General features: G+C 41.0%; 1 protein-coding gene across 4 annotated transcripts in view, besides 7 other annotated features; it reads right to left on the bottom strand.

The window, feature by feature from the left end:
• The window catches only part of TDRD7 (tudor domain containing 7), an 84,030-nt gene extending 69,435 nt beyond the window's left edge, over window positions 1–14,595 (bottom strand). For 3 of the 4 annotated variants that reach the window (NM_014290.3, NM_001302884.2, XM_047423113.1), the window contains exon 1: window positions 14,453–14,595. The gene's annotated coding sequence lies outside the window, so the exon portion shown is untranslated. Of the gene's footprint in view, window positions 1–13,846; window positions 13,931–14,452 lie in introns of those variants that run through there. The other variant, XM_047423111.1, reaches the window with a different exon arrangement.
• Window positions 13,613–14,112: an enhancer, noted in NCBI's record as "H3K4me1 hESC enhancer chr9:100174861-100175360 (GRCh37/hg19 assembly coordinates)". NCBI's record gives its function as "activates a minimal SCP1, AML or CMV promoter by ChIP-STARR-seq in primed H9 embryonic stem cells {active_cell/tissue: H9 hESC(primed)}" and the evidence as "EXISTENCE:reporter gene assay evidence [ECO:0000049][PMID:30033119]".
• Window positions 13,613–14,908: a biological region, named in NCBI's record as "H3K4me1 hESC enhancers GRCh37_chr9:100174359-100174860 and GRCh37_chr9:100174861-100175360".
• Window positions 13,749–14,008: an enhancer, noted in NCBI's record as "active region_28662". NCBI's record gives its function as "activates an Ori minimal core promoter by ATAC-STARR-seq in GM12878 lymphoblastoid cells {active_cell/tissue: GM12878}" and the evidence as "EXISTENCE:reporter gene assay evidence [ECO:0000049][PMID:35858748]".
• Window positions 13,950–14,244: a silencer, noted in NCBI's record as "tiled region #2004; HepG2 Repressive DNase matched - State 1:Tss". NCBI's record gives its function as "represses a minimal TATA promoter and a strong SV40 promoter by Sharpr-MPRA in HepG2 cells {active_cell/tissue: HepG2}" and the evidence as "EXISTENCE:reporter gene assay evidence [ECO:0000049][PMID:27701403]".
• Window positions 14,113–14,614: an enhancer, noted in NCBI's record as "H3K4me1 hESC enhancer chr9:100174359-100174860 (GRCh37/hg19 assembly coordinates)". NCBI's record gives its function as "activates a minimal SCP1, AML or CMV promoter by ChIP-STARR-seq in primed H9 embryonic stem cells {active_cell/tissue: H9 hESC(primed)}" and the evidence as "EXISTENCE:reporter gene assay evidence [ECO:0000049][PMID:30033119]".
• Window positions 14,329–14,538: a silencer, noted in NCBI's record as "silent region_20100". NCBI's record gives its function as "represses an Ori minimal core promoter by ATAC-STARR-seq in GM12878 lymphoblastoid cells {active_cell/tissue: GM12878}" and the evidence as "EXISTENCE:reporter gene assay evidence [ECO:0000049][PMID:35858748]".
• Window positions 14,559–14,908: a silencer, noted in NCBI's record as "silent region_20099". NCBI's record gives its function as "represses an Ori minimal core promoter by ATAC-STARR-seq in GM12878 lymphoblastoid cells {active_cell/tissue: GM12878}" and the evidence as "EXISTENCE:reporter gene assay evidence [ECO:0000049][PMID:35858748]".

Here is a 19,499-nt window from a genome sequence, read left to right as displayed (position 1 = left end):
GGTTCTGTAAAATCATAATGGAGCTGAAAAATTCCTATAGCCTAGTAATATCTTGATAATCCTGGCCTTGTATAGGCCAAGGCTAATGTGTGTGTTTTTGTCTTAGTTTTTAATTTAAAAAGTTTAAAAAGTAAAAGAGGCCAGATGCAGTGGCTCGCACCTGCAGTCCTAATGCTTTGGGAGGCCAAGGTGGGCAGAATCACTTGAGCCCAGGAGTTTGAGACCAGCCTGGGCAACATGGCGAAACCCCATCTCTACAAAAAATAGAAAAATTAGCTGGATGTGGCAGCATATGTCTATAGTCCCAGCTACTCAGGAGGCTGTGGTGGGAGGATCATTGAGCCCAGGAGGTCAAAGCTGCAATGGAGCACCACTGCACTCCAGCCTGGGTGACAGAATGAGACTTGTGTCAAAAAAATAAAAATAAATGAAAAGTAAAAGAAATGAAAACTTTTAATAAATTTAGTGTCGCCTAAGTGTACAGTGTTTATAAGTCTACAGTAGTGTACAGTAATGTCCTAGGCCTTCACATTCATTCACCATTCACTCACTGACTCATCCAGAGTAACTTCCAGTCCTGCCAGCTCCATTCATGGCAAGTGACCTATATAGGTATGCCATTTTTTGTTTTATATACCATATTTTTACTGTATCTTTTCTACGTTTAGATACACGAATACTTACCATTGTGTTAATGGTTGCAGTATCCCTCTTTATCTGAATGTTAATAGCATTCAGTACAGTAACATGCTGAACAGGGTTGAAGCCTGGGAACAACAGGCTATATACCACATAGCTCAGTTGTGTGGTAGGTTCTACTGTCTAGGTTTGTGAGTCCACTCTATAATGTTTGCACAGCAATGAAACTGCCTAACAATGCATTTCTCAGAACATATCCCTGTCGTTAGGCAATGTACGACTGCATGCATTATGTACCTTCCATTACTAAACATTAACTCTTTTCAAATTATTATCACCAGGACCAACAACATTTAATTAATACTATAACCTACAAAAGCCCTATACTAGGTCTGTATTCTTATTCTTTTCACAGATGTGTGTGTGTGTGTGTTTGTGTGTATAGTCATGCGTCACTTAACAATGGGGATACATTCTGAGAAATGTGTCGTTAGGCAATTTAGTTATTGTGTAAACATTATTGAGTGGACTTGCAAACCTAGATGGTATAGCCTAGTACACACCTAGGCTATATGGTATAACCTATTGCTCCCAGGCTACACACCTGTACAGCATGCTACTATACTGAATACTGTAGGCAATTTTAACACAATGGTAAGTACTGTATGTCTAAACATATCTGAGCATAGATAAGGTATAGAAAAATACAGTATTATAATCTTACAGGACAAATGATTATGCAGTCCATTGTTGACCAAAACATTGTTATTGGCACAAGACTAAATATCAAAATCTTCCTTTAGGGAAAGTTTACCCAAAATAAAATTAACTCATTTTATATGTAGCACTTCTTGAGTTTTAAAAAATATACACACCTATGTAATCATACCACAATCAAGATACAGACATTCCCATCATCCAAAAAAATTCCCTCATGTGGGGTACATAATATATGTAAAAGTAAAATGTACAAAGGTAGTACGAAGAATAGAACCAATGGAAGGTTCTTACACTACACATGAGGCGCTGTAGTGTCATTTGAAAGCTGACTATGATAAAGAGGGATATTGTAAACCATATGGCAACCACTAAAATTTTTTAAAAAGGTATAATAATATGCCAGTAGTAAAGGTAAAATGTAATAAGACAATACCTATGCAAGCAGAAGTTAAAAAAAATTAGACAGGAAAAAGGAGAAAAAAAAGGGTAGAGAAAATAGAAAACATCCAGCAAAATGGCAGGTTTAAAGCCAATCATATCAATAATTACATTAACTGTAAATAACTGAAATAGCCCTATAAAACATTAGGGGTTGGCAGAGTGGATAAAAAAGCAAGACTTACTTATATACCACCTTCAAGAAACCCACTTTAAATATGAATGCATAGGTTAAAAGTAAAAAGAAAAAAGATGTACCATGCAAACACTATGACTGTATAAATATCAGAACAAGGAATCTTATCAGAGATAAAGAGAGACATTACATAATGATTAAGGGGCTAATTCATCAGAAAGATAAAACAATCCTAAGCATAGGTGCACCAAACATCAGAGCTTCCAAACACACAAAATCTGATAGCTGAAAAAACTTATTCACAATTTCACAATTATCGTTGGACACTTCAAAACTCCTTTCTCGTCAATAGATAGAACCAGTAGATCAAAAAAATAAAATCAGTAAGAAAATAAGAGAGCTGGCCGGGTGTGGTGGCTCACACCTGTAATCCCAGCACTTTGGGAGGCCGAGGTGGGCGGTTCATCTGAGGTTGGGAGTTCAAGATCAGTCTGGCCAATGTGGTGAAACCCTACCTCTACTAAAAAATACAAAAACTCAGTCGGACGTGGTGGTTCGTGCCTGTAATCCCAGCTACTCAGGAGGCTGAGGCAGGATAATTGCTTGAACTCAGGCGGTGGAGGTTGCAGTGAGCCAAAATCATGCCACTGAACTCCAGCCTAAACAACAGAGTGACTCCATCTCAAAAAAAAAAAAAAAAAAAAAAAAGAATATAAAAGATCTAAACACTATCAACCAAAGTGACCTAATGATATTGACAGAACACTCCACTCCAAAGACAGCAGAATATACATTCTTTTCAAGAGCACATGAGATGTTCACCAAAATAAAATATATTCTTGGACTTAAAATGATATTCAAACAACTTAAAATAACTCATATTATAAAAAGTATATTCTGTGAATAGAACAAAATTACATTAGGTATCACTAACACAAAGATATGTGAACAATCTCCATGCAAATTTAACAAGATACTTCTAAATAACCAAGGGTCAAAGAGAAAGGCTACCTCCAAAATTAGAAAAATATTTTTAAATAAATGAAGACACAAATGTAAAATTTTGCTGGATGCGGTAAAAGTATTAGAGGAAAATTTATAGCATTATGTTTCTGTTAGAAAGAAGAAAAGTGGCAAATCAATGATCTATTCTCCTACTTTGAGAACAAAAAGAGAAATTTATATCAAAAGTAAGCAGAAGAAAGGAAATAAAGGTGAGAGCAGAAATCAATTCTGAAATGATGAAACAGATCAATAATGAAGTTTAAAAATAGGAGAGAAAAGAATCATGAAACTAAAACTAGTTTTCAAACCATCAATAAAATTGATAAACTCCTAGAAACATAGAAAAAAAAAAAAGAAGGCACAAATTACCATAATGTGATTGAAAGAGGGGCCATCAATACAGATCCTACAGACATTAAAAAGAGAACATGATAAAACAGTTATGCCAGTAAGTTTGTAGCTTAGATGAAATAGATAAATTTATTGAAAGACACAAATGTCAAAGCTTACTCAAGAAGAAATAAATAACCCTCAAATATCCCTATAGCTATTAGAGAATTTGAATTTACAGTTAAAAATCTTCACACAAAGAAAACCTGAAGCCCGGATTGCTTTACTGGCAAATTCTACCAAACATTTATAGAAGAATCAATACTACTCTTACAGATTCTCCCAGAAAACAGAGGGAAGAGAACATTTCTGAACTCATTTTATGAGGCAAGCATTATGCTGATACAAAAACTATACAAAGACACTGCATGAAAAGTACAGACCATATCCCTCATGAACATAAATGCAAAAATTCTTAACAAAACATTAGCAAATAAAATCCAACAATTAGTGAAAAGGATAAGACATAATAACCAGTTAAAGTTTATTCCAGGAATGCAGGTATGGTTCAATATTCATTAAGTCAATCAATATAACTTACTACATCAACAGATTAAAGGAAATTAAACAACACAATCATATCAATAGGTGAAAAAAAGACAGCTGACAAAATAAAAAATGTATTTATGATAAAAAACTCTCAGAATATTAGAATAAAATGGGAAGTCCTTAACCTGATAAAGACCATCTGTGAAAAAACCCACAGTTAACATCATTACTCACAGCTAAAGAGTGAGTGCTGTCTCCCTAAGACTGGGAACAGGGCAAGAATGCCCATGCTCAGCACTCCCATTCATTATCACAGTGGAGGTCCTAGCCAGTGCAATAAGGCTGATTTCAAGATTTACTATAAAGCTATATTAGTCAAAATAGTATAATATTATCAAAAGAACAATCATATAGATCAATGGAACAGAATATGTAATCCAGAAATAAACCCATATATGGTAAACTGATTTTTTTTTTTGAGACAGGGTCTTGATCTGTTGCCCAGGCTGGAGTGCAGTGGCACAATCTTGGCTCACTGTAACCTCTGCCTCCTGGGTTCAGGTGATTCTTGTGCCTCAGCCTCCCAAGTTGGCTGGGATTACAGGCATGTGCCACCATGCCTGGCTAATTTTTTTGTATTTTTAGTAGAGACAGGGTTTTGCCATGTTGGCTAGGCTGGTCTCAAACTCCTGACCTCAAGTGATCCACCCACTTCAGCCTCCCAAAGTGCTGGGATTACAGGTGTGAGCCACCTCCGGCCTAGTAAACTGATTTTTAACAAAGATGCTAAGGAAATTCAATGAAGAAAGTTCAATGAACAGTGCTAGTAAAACTGGTCATTCATATGCAAATAATGAACTTCATATTATATATACAAAAAATTAACTCAAAATAAATAATTTAGGTCCTAAATGAAAAGGCTAATAGTATAAAACTTCTAAAAAATACACAGGAGTAAATCTTTGTGGCCTTGGGTTAGGCAAAGACTTTTGAGAACCATAGAAGAAAAAATTGGCTGGGCACGGTGGTTCACGTCTGTAATTTCAGCACTTTGGGAGACCAAGGCACATGGGTCACCTGAGCTCAGGAGTTCGAGACTCGCCTGGGCAACATAGTGAGACTCCGTCTTCACACACACACACACACACACACACACACACACACACACACACACAAAAGCTGGGCATAGTCGCACGTGCCTGTAGTCCCAGCTACCTGAGAGGCTGCAGTGAGCCGTCATGGTGCGACAGAGTGAGAACCTGTCTCAAAAAGAAAAAAAGAAGAAATTGACAAATTGGATCTCATCAAAATTTAAAATGTCTGCTCTTCCAAAAGCTGTTCAAAAATGAAAAGCCACAGATTGTGAGAAGATATTTTCATAACAGACGTGGTAAAGTTGGTAGTCATATATAAACAATACTCAAAACTCAATAATAAAACAAAGATCCCAATTTAAAATGTGCAAAACACCTGAATACATATGTCACTAAAGTAAAAATGAAGATGGCAAAAAAACACATGAAAAGATGCTCAACAGCATTAGTCATTAGGGAAATGCAAATTAAATTCACAATGAAGTATCACTACACATCTATTAGAGCAGCTTAATTTTTTAAAAAACTGACAATACGAAGTGCTGATGAGAAAGCAGAGCATTTAGAACTCTCATACATTTCTGGTGGGCATGCAAAATAGTACCTTGAAAAATAGTTTGACAATTTCTTTTTTTTTTTTTTTTTGAGACAGAGTCCAGCTCTGTGGCCCAGGCTGGAGTGCAGTAGCCCGATCTCGGCTCACTGCAACCTCTGCCACCCAGGTTCAAGCAATTCTCCTGTCTCAGCCTCCCGAGTTGCTGGGACTACAGGCACACACCACCTCGCCCAGCTAATTTTTTTGTATTTTTGGTAGATATGGGGTTTCACCATATTGGTCAGGCTGGCCTTGAACTCCTGACCTCAGGTGATCCACCCGCCCTGGCCTTCCAAAATGCTGGGATTACAGACATAAGCCACTGCCCCGGCCAGTTTGACAATTTCTTACAAAGTAAAGTATACACTTATATAACCCAGCAGTCCTCTCCTACATTATTGCCCAAGAGAAATGATGACATATGTCCACACAGAAACGTGTGTGTGTATATAACAGCATTATTTATAATTGCCCCCCAAACTGGAAACAATCAAAATGTCTATCAAAAGGTAAGTAGATAAACCAAACTAGTAGCGCCATACAGTGGAATACTATTCAGTAATAGAAAGGAACAATCTGTTGATACATAAAACATGCATGACTCTTATATTATGCTAAAGGAAAAAGCTGGACACAAAAGGCTACATACATGATTCTATTTATGTGAACATTCTGGAAAAGGCGAAACTACAGACACAGAAATTAGATCAGTGGTTGCCAAGGGCTGGGGGTAAGGGGAGGTGATTGGCTATAAAGAGGGATTTTTACTGCATGTACAGCATATCTTTAACCACCACACCCTCCCCCACCCGCCCCCCCCAAAAAAAAGTTCTTTTAAGCTATGCTTCTCTGTGGTCAGCCCTCTCTGGTTCATACACACACTGCCCTGGCTCCTGGCAACTACCAATCTGCTTTCTGTCACTATGGATTATTTTTGCCTAGTGCTTTGTGTTCCATCTATGTTACTGCATTTAACTCAGTTCATTCCTTTTTATTGATGAGTAGTATTCCACTGTATGGGTATACTACAATTTGTTTATCAATTCAAATGTTGATACACATTTGGGTTGCATCCAATTTTGAGATATTATAAATAAAGTTGCCTTGATCATTCATGTACAAGTATTTAGGTAGGCACATGTTTTTATTTCTCTTATGTAAATTCTGAGAAATGGCTTTTCTAAAAATCTAGTATCTATAATAATGCTGGGAGGCTATTATCCTCAACTTATAGATGTGAAAACCAAGGTTCAGATAAGTTAAATACTTAAGATATCGCGGGATGTAGATAAGCTAGGATTTCAATCCAGGTCTGTTTGATGCCAAAGGCCACACTTTTCCCATTATATCACCCTGTCTACTGGTACTGGGAAAAACACCCAGCAAACCCTGAAGAATTAAGAACAGGAGACAAGACAGGAAAGAAAGGGTAAGCAGAGTAAAAAAGAAAAAAACAGTGGTGTGAAATCCACAGCTGACTCCACTTAGTCACAGGGCTGGTGTGGATTCCAAGACAATGGAACAGCTGGAGATACTCAATAGAAATTCATGGCAGAGACAGAGAACTGCAGAGTCTGCACACCTCCACTACCTCTGAAGTCCACACTCTGAATGAATGCCAGGGAGCAGGAAAGAGGACAGCTTTGGGACCTATACTTCACGGTTGCCAGATGTCAATGCTGAAGTATGAATTTTGGGTCCTGAATAGTAAACTGATGACACGGAAAATAGTTTAACAATGGTTCATGACTCATGAGTCAAAGATCACTGAACTACTATACAGTTATTTCCACAAGTAGTAAAAGCAACAGTGGAGACTGGCCAAGTTTTAATTTGCAAGAGGACATACTAAAGCATCACTTGCTTACTCCTCAGTGCCAATCCACCCTGACTATCCATTTCTGATCTCCACCTTCCCCATCTATGTGCTCTTCTTCCCTTCAAAACCCAATCCCTCCCATCAGTTCATCTAGAGCTCTTCTGAGTGAAACTGGGCTTTGCATCTTTGTATATCCGTATGCCTAAGTGGGCCTTGGCTATCAGCTACATACGCATTACATATAGATATAATGTCAGGTGGTTAGCACACATCCAGGGAAAATATCCATCTGGGTGTGACCAGTGTAAACGACTCAAATTAGACTGTTCAATATATCTGACTCCTCCCTGGCCAGACTACTTTATATTCCCCTGCCAGAGTTTCAGTAAGAAGGCCTTACCCTTTGCCTTAAGAATAGAGTTTCCATGGTATTCTCCTTCCCTTCATTTTGGAAAGAGCATCTGCTCCACTGCCACCTCCCCTCTGTGGTCTACTTTTCTCAGCTACATTAGGAGTGGACAGCAACCATTAATTTATGGGGAAAAAATGTCGGATAAATGCATTTTACTAATGGGTGTCCTGTTACTAAAACCTAACAGAACACTGTGATTCAGGTTTGAAAGGACAGGTCCAGCCCTGTCTTAGAGTCTAATCAGAGGCTTGTTCTACAGGTTGCCCTCTGCGAAAGCCTTCCACTCCTTCCACCCTTGGGAGAACCATTTTAGACCACTGCCCCTGAAATGTCCCTTCTATCTTCCTTATTTCTGCTCTGAAACAGCTGCAAGCAGGGATCTCCCAAAAAGGGCACTTCACAATTTTTTTTTTTAAGGAGCGGCATTCAGGTAGAGTCTTCCTCTTGTCCCCACCCATGACCTGTTTAACGGCCAGAGCAGAGTGAGGTACGAAGCTTTGCCTAATGCTTGCTTCTCTAGTCCCACCCTCTTTAAATGTGTCTTCTCCTTTATATAGCAGATGTCTCGTGACCTCCATCCTAATTGTTCTATCCTTTGCCCCGAGACTCTTGGAAGAAAATTAAATAAAATACCAGTGTGAATCTGCACGGCACAGAAGTGCTCATCCTTATTTTTCACTTTTCCCACCCTATCCAACCTCACATTTACCCACCTTGATTTCTTGGCATTGTCAGACTGTTTTTTCTAAGTTATATTTCTCAATCTGACCTGAGAAAAGCTTATGCCACACACATACTTCCTACTTTCACTCCCCCTTTATTTTTCCCCCAGATAGAGTCTTGCTCTGTCACCCAGGCTGGAGGGCAGTGGCGTGATCTCCGCTCACTGCAACCTCTGCCTCCTAGGTTGAAGCAATTCTCCTGCCTCAGCCTCTTGAATAGCTGGGATTCCAGGCACCCATCACCATGCCTGGCTACTTTTTGTATTTTTAGTAGGGACGGGGTTTCACCATGTTGGCCAGGCTGGTCTTGAACTCCTGACCTCACGATCCACCTGCCTTGGCCTCCCAAAGTGCTGGGATTACAGGTGTGAGCCACCGTGCCTGGCCTTTCACCCCCTTTTTAATGCACATATTATCACAGTTAAAATCTACTTTAAAATATTTCAATAGTAAAGTTGCTAACACCTGGCCATTGATATATTTTGATTTGGTTTTGGGGGAAGGGCAGGGGATTGCAGAAGATTATGCCTGAGCCTCCTTTTACTTGTGTTCCGCAAGTTTAATGCCACTGCTCACTCATTTTCCTGGGATAAGCCCCTTCTCCTGGATCTCATTCTCTTTATCTGTAAGATGAGTGAGGTCAGTATTAGTTCTCAATCCTCCCCCAAGCAATGTGATACATAAAGATGGAAGGCGGATGTCTACAATTCCTTCACTCTTCACCACTTCCATGGCAGTTGTCCTAGTCCGTGTCAGCAACATCTCTTTCCTGGAGCAGAGCAGCTGGGCTCTTAGCTGGTCTCTCTGCTTCCACTTCACCTCCTAGAATCTGTTCTCCACATATCAGCCTGAGTGATCTTTTCATATAATATATACTATTATATCACGTCACTCAAAACCCTCTAATGCTTCCTGTGTTAACTCAGACAAAAAGCCAAGTCCTTACAGAGCCAAAAAGGGCCCTGCATAACCTGCAACCCCCACTTCTTTGCCCTAAGTTCTCTCTTCTCTTTATTTTCATTCACCCATCCTGGGCTCCATGCTTTTCCTTGAACATGCCTGAGATGGCCTCACAACAGGGCTTTTGTACTTGCCATTCTCTCTACCTGGGACATATTGACTCCAGGGGCACATGTGGCTCACAGCCTTACCTCCTTCAGCTAAAGTACGTGCTCAACTGTCACCTCCACAGTAAGGCCTTCTCTGGCCACCCTATTCAAAATCAAAACTGAGATGCCAGCTTCCCTGATTTTCTCCTTAGCACTTATCACCATCCAATATTCTTCTCCATTTAATGGTTTTATCTTTCTCCCCAACTTCAATGCAAGCTCCATGAAAGCAAGGATTTGTGTCTGTTTTGTTCATTGCTGAATCCCTAGTGCCTAGCCCACCGAGAGCTCAATAAATATTTGTTGAATGAATAAGAAATTCTCCATCCACCTACCACTCCTTTTCTCTCCTACTCACTAAAATACAGCATAACATAGGTGAGCTATTAAAGGCATAACTCTGAATCCAATTTAAGTTACTAAAAAATTATCTGCAAATGTTAACAATTCTTATAAACTGAATGAGACAGCCAATCGCAACACCAAACTGTGGTTGAGAATCATCAAGTAGATTATTTCTGAGCATGTCCACTCTGAGCCAGATTAGGCCCTGTCAGGGCCGCAGCATGATTGCAAGGAGCCCACACATCCTGACAAGCAGCAGGCACGGCTTGAATATTAGTAAATGTCTCACATGTACTTATAGTCCTGTTTTTCAGAGTGTGCAGATATTATTGGGATCCATAAACACAAACTGATATTAAATTCACAACAGCTTTTGGTAGTTATATGTTTAATTGACCAATGGATACTGCAAGCACAACTACTAGTGTATGAGGTTTCACGAAATTTTTCTAAAGCTACAAAAAATGGCCTCATACTTGAGGAGACTGAGAATCAACGCTTGACCACATGGTTGCAATCTGTAAATTAAGTTCCCTCCCCCTGCCTGCCTTTTTAAAGTATGCTATCTTTCATGGAGGACTATAACTCTCTATTTGCAAACAACTTTTTGAAGGGAAGGGGAATCCCTTGGAGTATAAGACTGTGGGTCTCCAAGCTGGTGAGAAGCAGTTAAATGCAGTAAAACCTGGAAGGCTAAATGTGATTGTATTCAAATGCACGACTTGCCAGTCTGATTTCAATTCCCACATTAGCAACATCACTTCAGGCAGTGAACGAAAAAGAAAGTGTAAGCTTTAAAAAAAATCGTCATTATTTTCTAAACTATATCACTTTGGAAATGCTCTGAGTTTTGTTACGTGGCTCATGATGACTTTTTTTTGAAACTTTCGGAAGATGGCAATTATACTCTCAAGGTATATAAGAATACTTTGTTCTAACTATAAAAATAAAGTTTAATATCTTAGACATCATCCATTAGAAGCATAAAAGAAAGTATATCATAGGAATTTCAACTGGAGTGCAGTGGCGCAATCTTGGCTCACTGCAACCTCCGCCTGCCGGGTTCAAGTGATTCTCCCGCCTCAGCCTCCTGAGTAGCTGAGACTATCTTTTTTATGCTTTCGTGCTTTCCTTTTTTTCTTCGCTTATACCCAGTTAATCTTAATTATCCAAGACACTAATAATGCACATGAGGTGGGGTGGGGAGTTGGGGAGTGATGACAATCTTTAGGGAAACAAAATTTAAATAATTTAAGTGGCCTAAAATAATTCTCACTCTACTTCAAAACTGCATTTTGTAAATTCACAGCTTTTCTCTTTACTATACCTGAAAATGGCCCAAGGAAGTCCTATTCTGAAGAACCTGGTTTTGGTGTATCCCAGATAAACGCCTTCTACCATTGATTGATCCTCCCTGGCTCAGTCATTTGCATGTTATCTGCTTCCTCTAACTACTGGTGTCAAAGGCCTTTAGCTGAGCTAGTCTGGCTTCCATCCTATGCCTTCTCTTTTCTAAGTTTCTTCTTGCTCAACTATTTCCAACTGTATGATTTGGCTCATCTTCCTTACTACATTTTTCATGTCATCAGTTTAAGTTGTCGAGTGGCACTAAATCTTAAAACAAATCAGAAGAATTATTAGGGTAAACTGAAAACACCAAGTAATCTCTCTTAGCTTCTTTTAGTTAGATGTTCAATTTTGAAGTATCTGGATATCTCTTTAGGGCATATACTTCTAATAACTAACTGCCCTTCTCCTTGAAGACACTATTTTAGCAACAGCGGGAACTTAAAGTCCCATAATGTCTGTGCTGACACATTTTAGGCATCGTCTAGGCTAACCCAAGCTCCTTATCTTACAAATCAATAAACTGAGCCTCAGAGGGAAAATTTTTTCCTAAGATCTTTACCCAATAAATGATTTCTCACCTTGCGACACTTTTAAATGCTCTTTTCTTTCTAATCATAGTCTGTTACCACTTCAATTACTCCTTCACCAACCGGTTTTTAAAGGAAAAAGATGATTAATACCCTCAGATGATGGTATACTTCCTTAAGAGTTTTTTTCAGGGAGTTATCTTTTTTATTCTTGTGATCTCAAGTTCCAAATTATTCGTGCATTTTAACTGCATACCACGAATGTACGTAAGTAAGGGATTTCCATAAGTCTACATACTAGACGAAAAAACCCTGAGATAATAAAGTGGCTTAGTAAGGAGTTTGTGTCTTAATCCTAGTTCCGCTACTGATTACCTGTGACAAGTCACTTCAGGTCTCTTTTTTTCACAAGGAAGATAAGAAAGGTGGGCAAGAGCCATGATTCTCAACTTTCCTTGGATTCACTGAAGGCTGAAATAAGGTCCAAATATGTAATGAAAACCGAGTTTGCTTACTCATGACAAAGCTGCACAGGCTAAAATGCCAAGCTTACTTTGAAGTCACACTGGGTAGCTTGCACTGATCAAGTTCTGATTGGCATATATACATGTCTTCAACTAAAAATTGCAAAATTAATTACTTTTAGTTTGAAAGACAAAACTGTAAACATATTTGGCTTACAGGGAAATAATGACAAGAATGAAGCTTTCAAAAGTACAGAGGTGGGAGTGGAGGGAGGAAAAAGCAGGTTTGGCACAAAGAAACAACAGTTCACGTAAATATAAAATTTCACCAAGGAACTTCTGTGAAAGTGTCCAGATGCAAAGCACTCTATGTCAAATCTCAATTCTTGAAAACAGCACTTGACAAACACAAATTAGGCACTCGGGGTTGGATTATATTTTTTCTTTATATTCACATTAAGTATCCAGCTAGATTATATTGCACAGAGAACTTAAAAGAGGGGTTCTGCAAGGAGTTTAAAATCTCTTGATGCACAATACAATAGTTCATTCAGCCATGTTCAACCTGTACACTTAAAAGGGCATTAGCAGGGGATTACACTTCATTTTCAATCTACAGAGACTGAAATCTGAAGGCACTGCCAACTGCTGCCTCACAGTCTCACCGTGCAACTACCAAAGACGGAGGCTGTGTGCCACCAAAGGGCCCTGGATTGGGGCACAGGAGATGTGAGTGCTAATCCAGCTGGCCCCAGGGGCAATTCCCTATACCCAGAACAGTACTTTGCACGTAACTGATGCTCAATGAATGTCAGCTGAGAGGAAATGCAAAAATATCCACCATGTGCCCATTTATATTATATAGTAAACACAAAGATCTTTGTGTCCCTGCCCTCAAAAAACTAAAATCCAATTATGTAAAACATGGACCGTTTGTTGGGAGGAAGAGAGTGAATACTGCTTGGCAATTATTATGAGGCAAAGGATATACAGTGGTTATCTTGGAAAAGCCTTGCAAAGTAAGCCAGGTACCTCTATTTGACACATAGAAAACCAGGCTAAGAGAAAGCATGTAATTTGTTCAAGATCACACAATTTGTAAAATGAGAAGCCCAGATTTCAATCCAGGTCTGCAAAGTTCACATTATTTGCAGTATGCAACACATTCATACACATCAAGGCAGCCCAGGACGAGACAGGGATTTGGGTCCAAGTTTTACTTCTGCTATTAAGCTGTTGCCTATCTCTCTAGAGAGAACATTTCTCTGCATTTTTTTCACCGGCACGATTGGAGAGCAGAGAGGTGTTGGTAGGAGGGTTAATGAACTAGATCTGTGGTTTTTTGGTTTGGTTTGGTTTGGATGGGCGGTGATCAGAATTCTTCTGGGCCAGGACTTGTTCTAATGTGGTTGTTTCCCTTCCCTGCTCTTAGAAATTATTTGAGAATGGTACCTTTAGCTATTAATGGAAATATACCTCTCAAGTGAATGGGAGCAGAAAGATATGCCGGCTCCAAGCTCCCTCCTAGCAAGCTGAAGCTGAGAGTCTGACCCTGCTGAGGGGATGCTACTGAAAGTTGAGAGACAACTTACTCACGGATCCATGTTTCCCTCCCAGCTGGGTGCTCTGTACCCACTGGGTGCTCCTCGTTTGAGAGAAATGGGGATGTGTGTCCTGCATTACTTAAGCGGCCTGCCTGGGGCTCGTCTCCAGATTATAGAGACCTTCAAGAGAAGTTCGTGGTGTAAAATACTTGGGTTCAAATAGGGGAGCGCGGACATCCCTCGCTGGGGGCGGCGGCTGCGGCCTGTCGCGCCGGTAGCGGGAACCACTTCCTGGTCCGCATCTCCCGCCCGCGTCCACACCCCGCTGCTGCATTTCCCCCACGGCGCAGAGCTTCCGAGGCGGCAGGAGGCTCCGTCCGACTCCCGCGTGAACGCCCGGCCCGGAGCAGGGTCCCTTCAGAGATTTAAAACACAACGCTCTGGAACTCCAACTCCCCCGGCGCCCAGCCCGGTTCCCAGGCGTCGGGGCGGGGGCAATCCCCTGCGGCTGCAGGGAAAAGGCCCCGAGCCTGTTGGAGCCCCCGGCCCTGGCCGCGGTCCCACCGGTGACCCAGGTGCGCCGCGCCCGCCCGAAATCTCGTCCGACGTCGCCCGGCACCTGTCGCGCCCGGAGCCCGCAGGACCTGCACTCACCTCGTTCCGGGGGCCCACGGCCCGTCCCCGCGTCTCTGGGCCCAGCTCCTGCCGCCGTCTCCGCCAGGGGCCCCGCCGCGGCCGCCGCCCACTTTCGGTTTCCCCGCACCACCGGAGCCGCCCCGCGGCTTGGGAATCACCTCAAGCCCCCGCCCCGCCCTGCTCGGCCCCGCCCCGCTTCGCCCCGCCCCGCTTCGAGGGCAGCCTGGCCTCGGCTCTGCGCACGCGCGGGCGCTCCGGCCGCGTCGGCCCACGCCGGCGTCCGCGCGTGGGAAGGGAAACCGTCGCCACCTAGCGGTTTCTGCGCGTGCCCACGCACCGGCCGGCGGCGGAAGACGCCTGCGGGGCGGGTGCGGGAGCGCCTCCTGGTGGACAACGCAGGTACGCGCGGGCCGAGCGAGCCGGGACTCAGCAGGGGGCGAGGGTGGCTCCTTCTATGGGGCTCACCCTCCTTCCAAACAGTTCAACTCCTGCACATTATTTTCTTCAACATCTGGAGCAGTTACTTTTTATTGCCCTAGACACACACTCTGTCCGCCCATATCCTTCAGGCCTTTCTCAAGCATTACCCTTTCAATGACGGTGGACACAGTCTCTAACATGTCAACCTCCTTCCTTGACTTTCCCTATCCCCATTCTCAACCTTATTTCTCCTTAGCACCTATCTAGCACACTATATGTATTTTACTTATGCTTTTATTGTCTGCTATCCTTCTAAAATTAAAGCTCTGTGAGCACAAGGATTTTTGTTTGGTTCCTTAACCTATTCCCAGAGCCTAGGATAGTGCCTAGCACACGATCAGCAATAAATATCTGTCAAATTTATTCATTCACTCTAAAGTTATTGAACACCTAATAAGTGAATACTTATTTATTCTGCACATTAATTCCACCAACACTTATTGGCACCTGCTTTGCATCCCTGCAGCCAACATTGAACACTTCTCTGCACCATTGGATATGCATTTACTGAGAACCTGCTGCTTATTCAACCGGTATTTTATTACAGCTTGACTGCCATGTATAAGACATACAATAAACTGAACGTTTAAAATGTACAGCTTGATAAATTATGCATTTACTGAGAACCTGCTGCTTATTCAACCGGTATTTTATTACAGCTTGACTGCCATGTATAAGACATACAATAAACTGAACGTTTAAAATGTACAGCTTGATAAATTATGCATTTACTGAGAACCTGCTGCTTATTCAACCGGTATTTTATTACAGCTTGACTGCCATGTATAAGACATACAATAAACTGAATGTTTAAAATGTACAGTTTGATAAGTTTTGATATATATATATCACTGTGAGACCATCACTGCAATCAAAATCATGAACATATCCATCACCCAAAAAAGTTTTACTGTGATCCTTTGTAATTCTTATATCTTGTCCCTCCCTGTCACTTGCCCCCTCAACTGCTCACCTGCTTTCTGTTGCTATAGATTATTTTGCTTTTTCTAGAGTTATATGTAAAACTTTTATGTATGGAATCGTATGTACTATCCTTTGGGGGGCTGCCTGGCTTCTTTTATTTAGCAAATTATGTTCATCCATGTTGTTACATGTATCAATAGTTCATGTCTTTCTATTGCTGAATGGTATTGTAGGGATGTACCAAACCTACCACGCAACCCAGCAATTCTGCTCCTGGGTATTTACCCAGGAGAAATGAAAGCAGATGTCCACACAAAAACCTGTACAAGAGTGCTCATGGCAGTTGTGTTGGCCGTAGCCCCACATGGAAAGAATACAAACATCCGTCAGAAGGTGAATGGACAATCAACTAATATATATTGAACACCTGCTGTTAAATAACAAATTTTCATGGATAAGCCTGTGCTTATAGAGCTTTTGATTCAGTGAAAAGATGCAGTAGGCAATACAAAGAAAAATTGGAAGTAAATCTGGAAAACCTGATATCCAGCTCTCAGACACTTGGATGTTTCCCCAAAGGCGGTAGGGAATTGTTCAGAGTTTTTGAACAGGGCTTTTCTTTGAACACTGTTCTCTTTCATATCCTAGATCTGGTCCCTGACTAAGTTTGCCTAAATGTCTCTCTCTGGAATTTCTCTGCATCTCCTTTGCTCTATTTCAGTCTATTTCAGATGTCTTTCTGTTCTTTCCCTTCCAGTCTACTCCAAACATTGCAGTGGATTTTTAATAGACTTTGCTATGGTCTGAATGTTTGTGTCCCTACAAAATTCATGTTGAAACCTAATCCCCATTCTTGCGGTGTTGAGAGGTGGGACCTTTGAGAAGTCATGATGGCTTCGTCCTTGTGAATAGAATTAGTGCCCTTAGGGGCTTAAGGGAGCCTTCTGCCCCTTCCACTGTGTAAGGATTCAGCAAGAAGGTGCCATCTTTGAAGAGGAGAGCAAGTCCTCACAGGATGCCAAATCTGCTGGCACCTTGATCTTAGACTTCCAAACCTCCAGAACTGTAAGAAAAAAATTTCTATTATTTATAAATTATCCAGTCTAAGATATTTTGTTATAGCAGCAGGAATGGACCAAGACAGACCTAAAAGACAACCAGCCCCAATTTGGTCTCTGCAGTACTCACAACATCCTGTGGCTCCACATTTTAGAAGGGAAAGATGTAAAAAGCAGCTGCCAAAGGAAAGAGTGCTAGTAGTAGCAGGAAATAAAAAAAAATTTCAGAGTCTAATATGTAGAATAAATCATAAAATAATGTGAGTTGAACCCAAGTTTGAGATCCTTTATCCTTGCAAAGATGTTCCATGTTTAGACTGCCCTATATGTAAAGAAAAATGAAGCTCTGCAGCTAGTTTTTTTTAAACCAGCTTTTTTGATAGTTGACATATAATACATATTTAAATGTACAGTGTGATGAGTTTTGACCAACGTCTTTAATTGTGTACCTACCACCACAATCAACATATGGGATTAGTTCATAATTCCAAAACTTCTCCTGTGCCCCTTTACAGTTAATTCTCTCCCCATACCTTTATCCACTAGCAGCTACTGATCTGATTTTTGTCATCATAGGTTTGCCTTTTCTAGCATATCATATAAGTGGAATCATGCAGGATGTCATCTTTTGTGTCTGGCTTCATCACTTAGCATGATGGTTTTGAAAGTCATCCATGTTGTTGCACATAGTGGTAGTCGGTTCCTTTTTAGTGCTGAATAGTAAGCCATTGCATGGCTTTATCACAATTTGTTTATTCATTCACATTTCATGCACATTTGTGTTGTTTCCAGTTTGGGCTGTTATAAATAAAGCTGTAATAACAGCCATATGCAGGTCTTTGTGTGGTGATGTGGTTTTTTGGCATAAAGACTTAAGTATAGAACATCTGGTTGTGGGATAGGTGTACGCTTAACGTTTTAAGAAACCGTCAAACTGTTTTCTAATGTGGCTGTGCCATTTTGTACTCCCACTTTTACTCTCTCCTTGGTAATGTGTAAGACTTCCAGTTGCTCTAAATCTTCTCCAATACTTGGTATTGCCTGTCTTTCTAATTTTAGCCATTCCAGTGGATGTATAGGGATAGCACACCGAGGTGTCAATTTGCATTTCCCCAGGACTAATGATGTTGAGCATCTCTTCATGTGTTTATTGGCCCTTCATATGTGTTCTTGGGTAAAGTGTCTGTTCTGCAGGTAGATTTTTGTCCAAGACATCAGGAGGTTCTCAGAATTGCCTGGGTATCTGACAGAGCAAGGGCAGATTAGAACGTTGTTTTTTTTGTTTGTTTGTCTTTGTGAAGTGGTCCAAGACCCAGGGAGTTCAAGAATTCACCCCCATACCCTGGATATAATTGGATTTCAGGAGAATTAAGAGATATCAGAGATGGAACAGACTGGTTACTCCGTAGGCACAATGGTTCTTACCCTTTTGTGGCGAAGTCAGAATAGATGAAAGCAAATTTTGATGTATGATTTCAGAGAGGATATAGAGTCCTTAAAGCTCCACTGTGAACCCACGTTAAAAATTTCCTTAGAGGAAAGCATATATCCTGGGGCCAAATAGCAGAGTTTTTGAAATGAACAGGACTCAGATGGAAGGCATTCTTCCTCTGCAAATGCCCAAGCATATCTTTGGACAACAAGGGCAGTGGCCAGGAGCATCTAGATCTCTTTTAAGAGAGGCAGGCATAATTTCCCATCCTCAAGGGCTGTAGAGAGGTCCTTGGTACTCTGCTTAATGTGGTTTTTAGGGTAGGAAAGGTAGATGGAAGGGGAAATTAGTAAAAGCTGGCCACTAAGCAGAAGGCTGGCAGGTCATTGTGCCTGTCCAGAGACAAGAGAGAGGTTATCGTGGGAAGGGAGTGCAAATCAAGGCCCAAGTATGGGGAAGGAAGACAGCTTTGTTGGTAGCTTATCCTTGGCAGAGAAAGATGGACATATTTCCAGTGTGAAACCTCCATCCAAAGCCCTTCATGCATTTTGTCCACACCTGAGGAGCCTATATATTTGGAGAGAGTCACATTGGATACAAACACCAAAATGCCTGTACAAAGCAGGCAGGACCAATACTATTGGTTGAGTTGAATCTCTGTCCTTCCTCTTTTTCATCTCTCATCAGCAAGCACCATTTAGAATGAGGGTGAGACAGCAAGCATGGTCCAGGAACATGTCTGTAGTTCATTTTTTTTTTTCTTATCTGATAGTTCTTTTGGTCTTAGCAATATAGCCCAAGAACAATACATTCCTCATCCTTTCTCTAAGAGCCTGTCAGACTTTACAACCACCATAGGCAGCTTTGTCACTTGCAAAATTTAGAGCAACAACTTGATAGACCTCTAGGTGCTGTCATCTCACTTCCCTTCCTCTCTATATTGACTCCTAAAAGAAAGCAAAAACCAAAAACAAAACTTTCATTTCTATCAGTTTATGACCCATCAAATGAACAGCGGGGACTTGGTAATAACATTATTCAATGTCTGGAGTAGTTCCTCTCTCAGGAAGCCTTCCTCGAATCCCCCACCTGACAATCATTGTTCCTTTAGCTGAGCTTCTAGACTGCTTTGTTCCTTAAATATATTTATAGCAGAGAGAACATAACAAGT

The sequence above is a fragment of the Homo sapiens genome, chromosome 9 (genome assembly GCF_000001405.40).
Source record: "Homo sapiens chromosome 9, GRCh38.p14 Primary Assembly".
Taxonomy (NCBI): Eukaryota; Metazoa; Chordata; class Mammalia; order Primates; family Hominidae; genus Homo; species Homo sapiens.
Note: the sequence above shows the minus strand (reverse complement) of the source record. Positions and strands in the feature narration are given on the sequence as shown.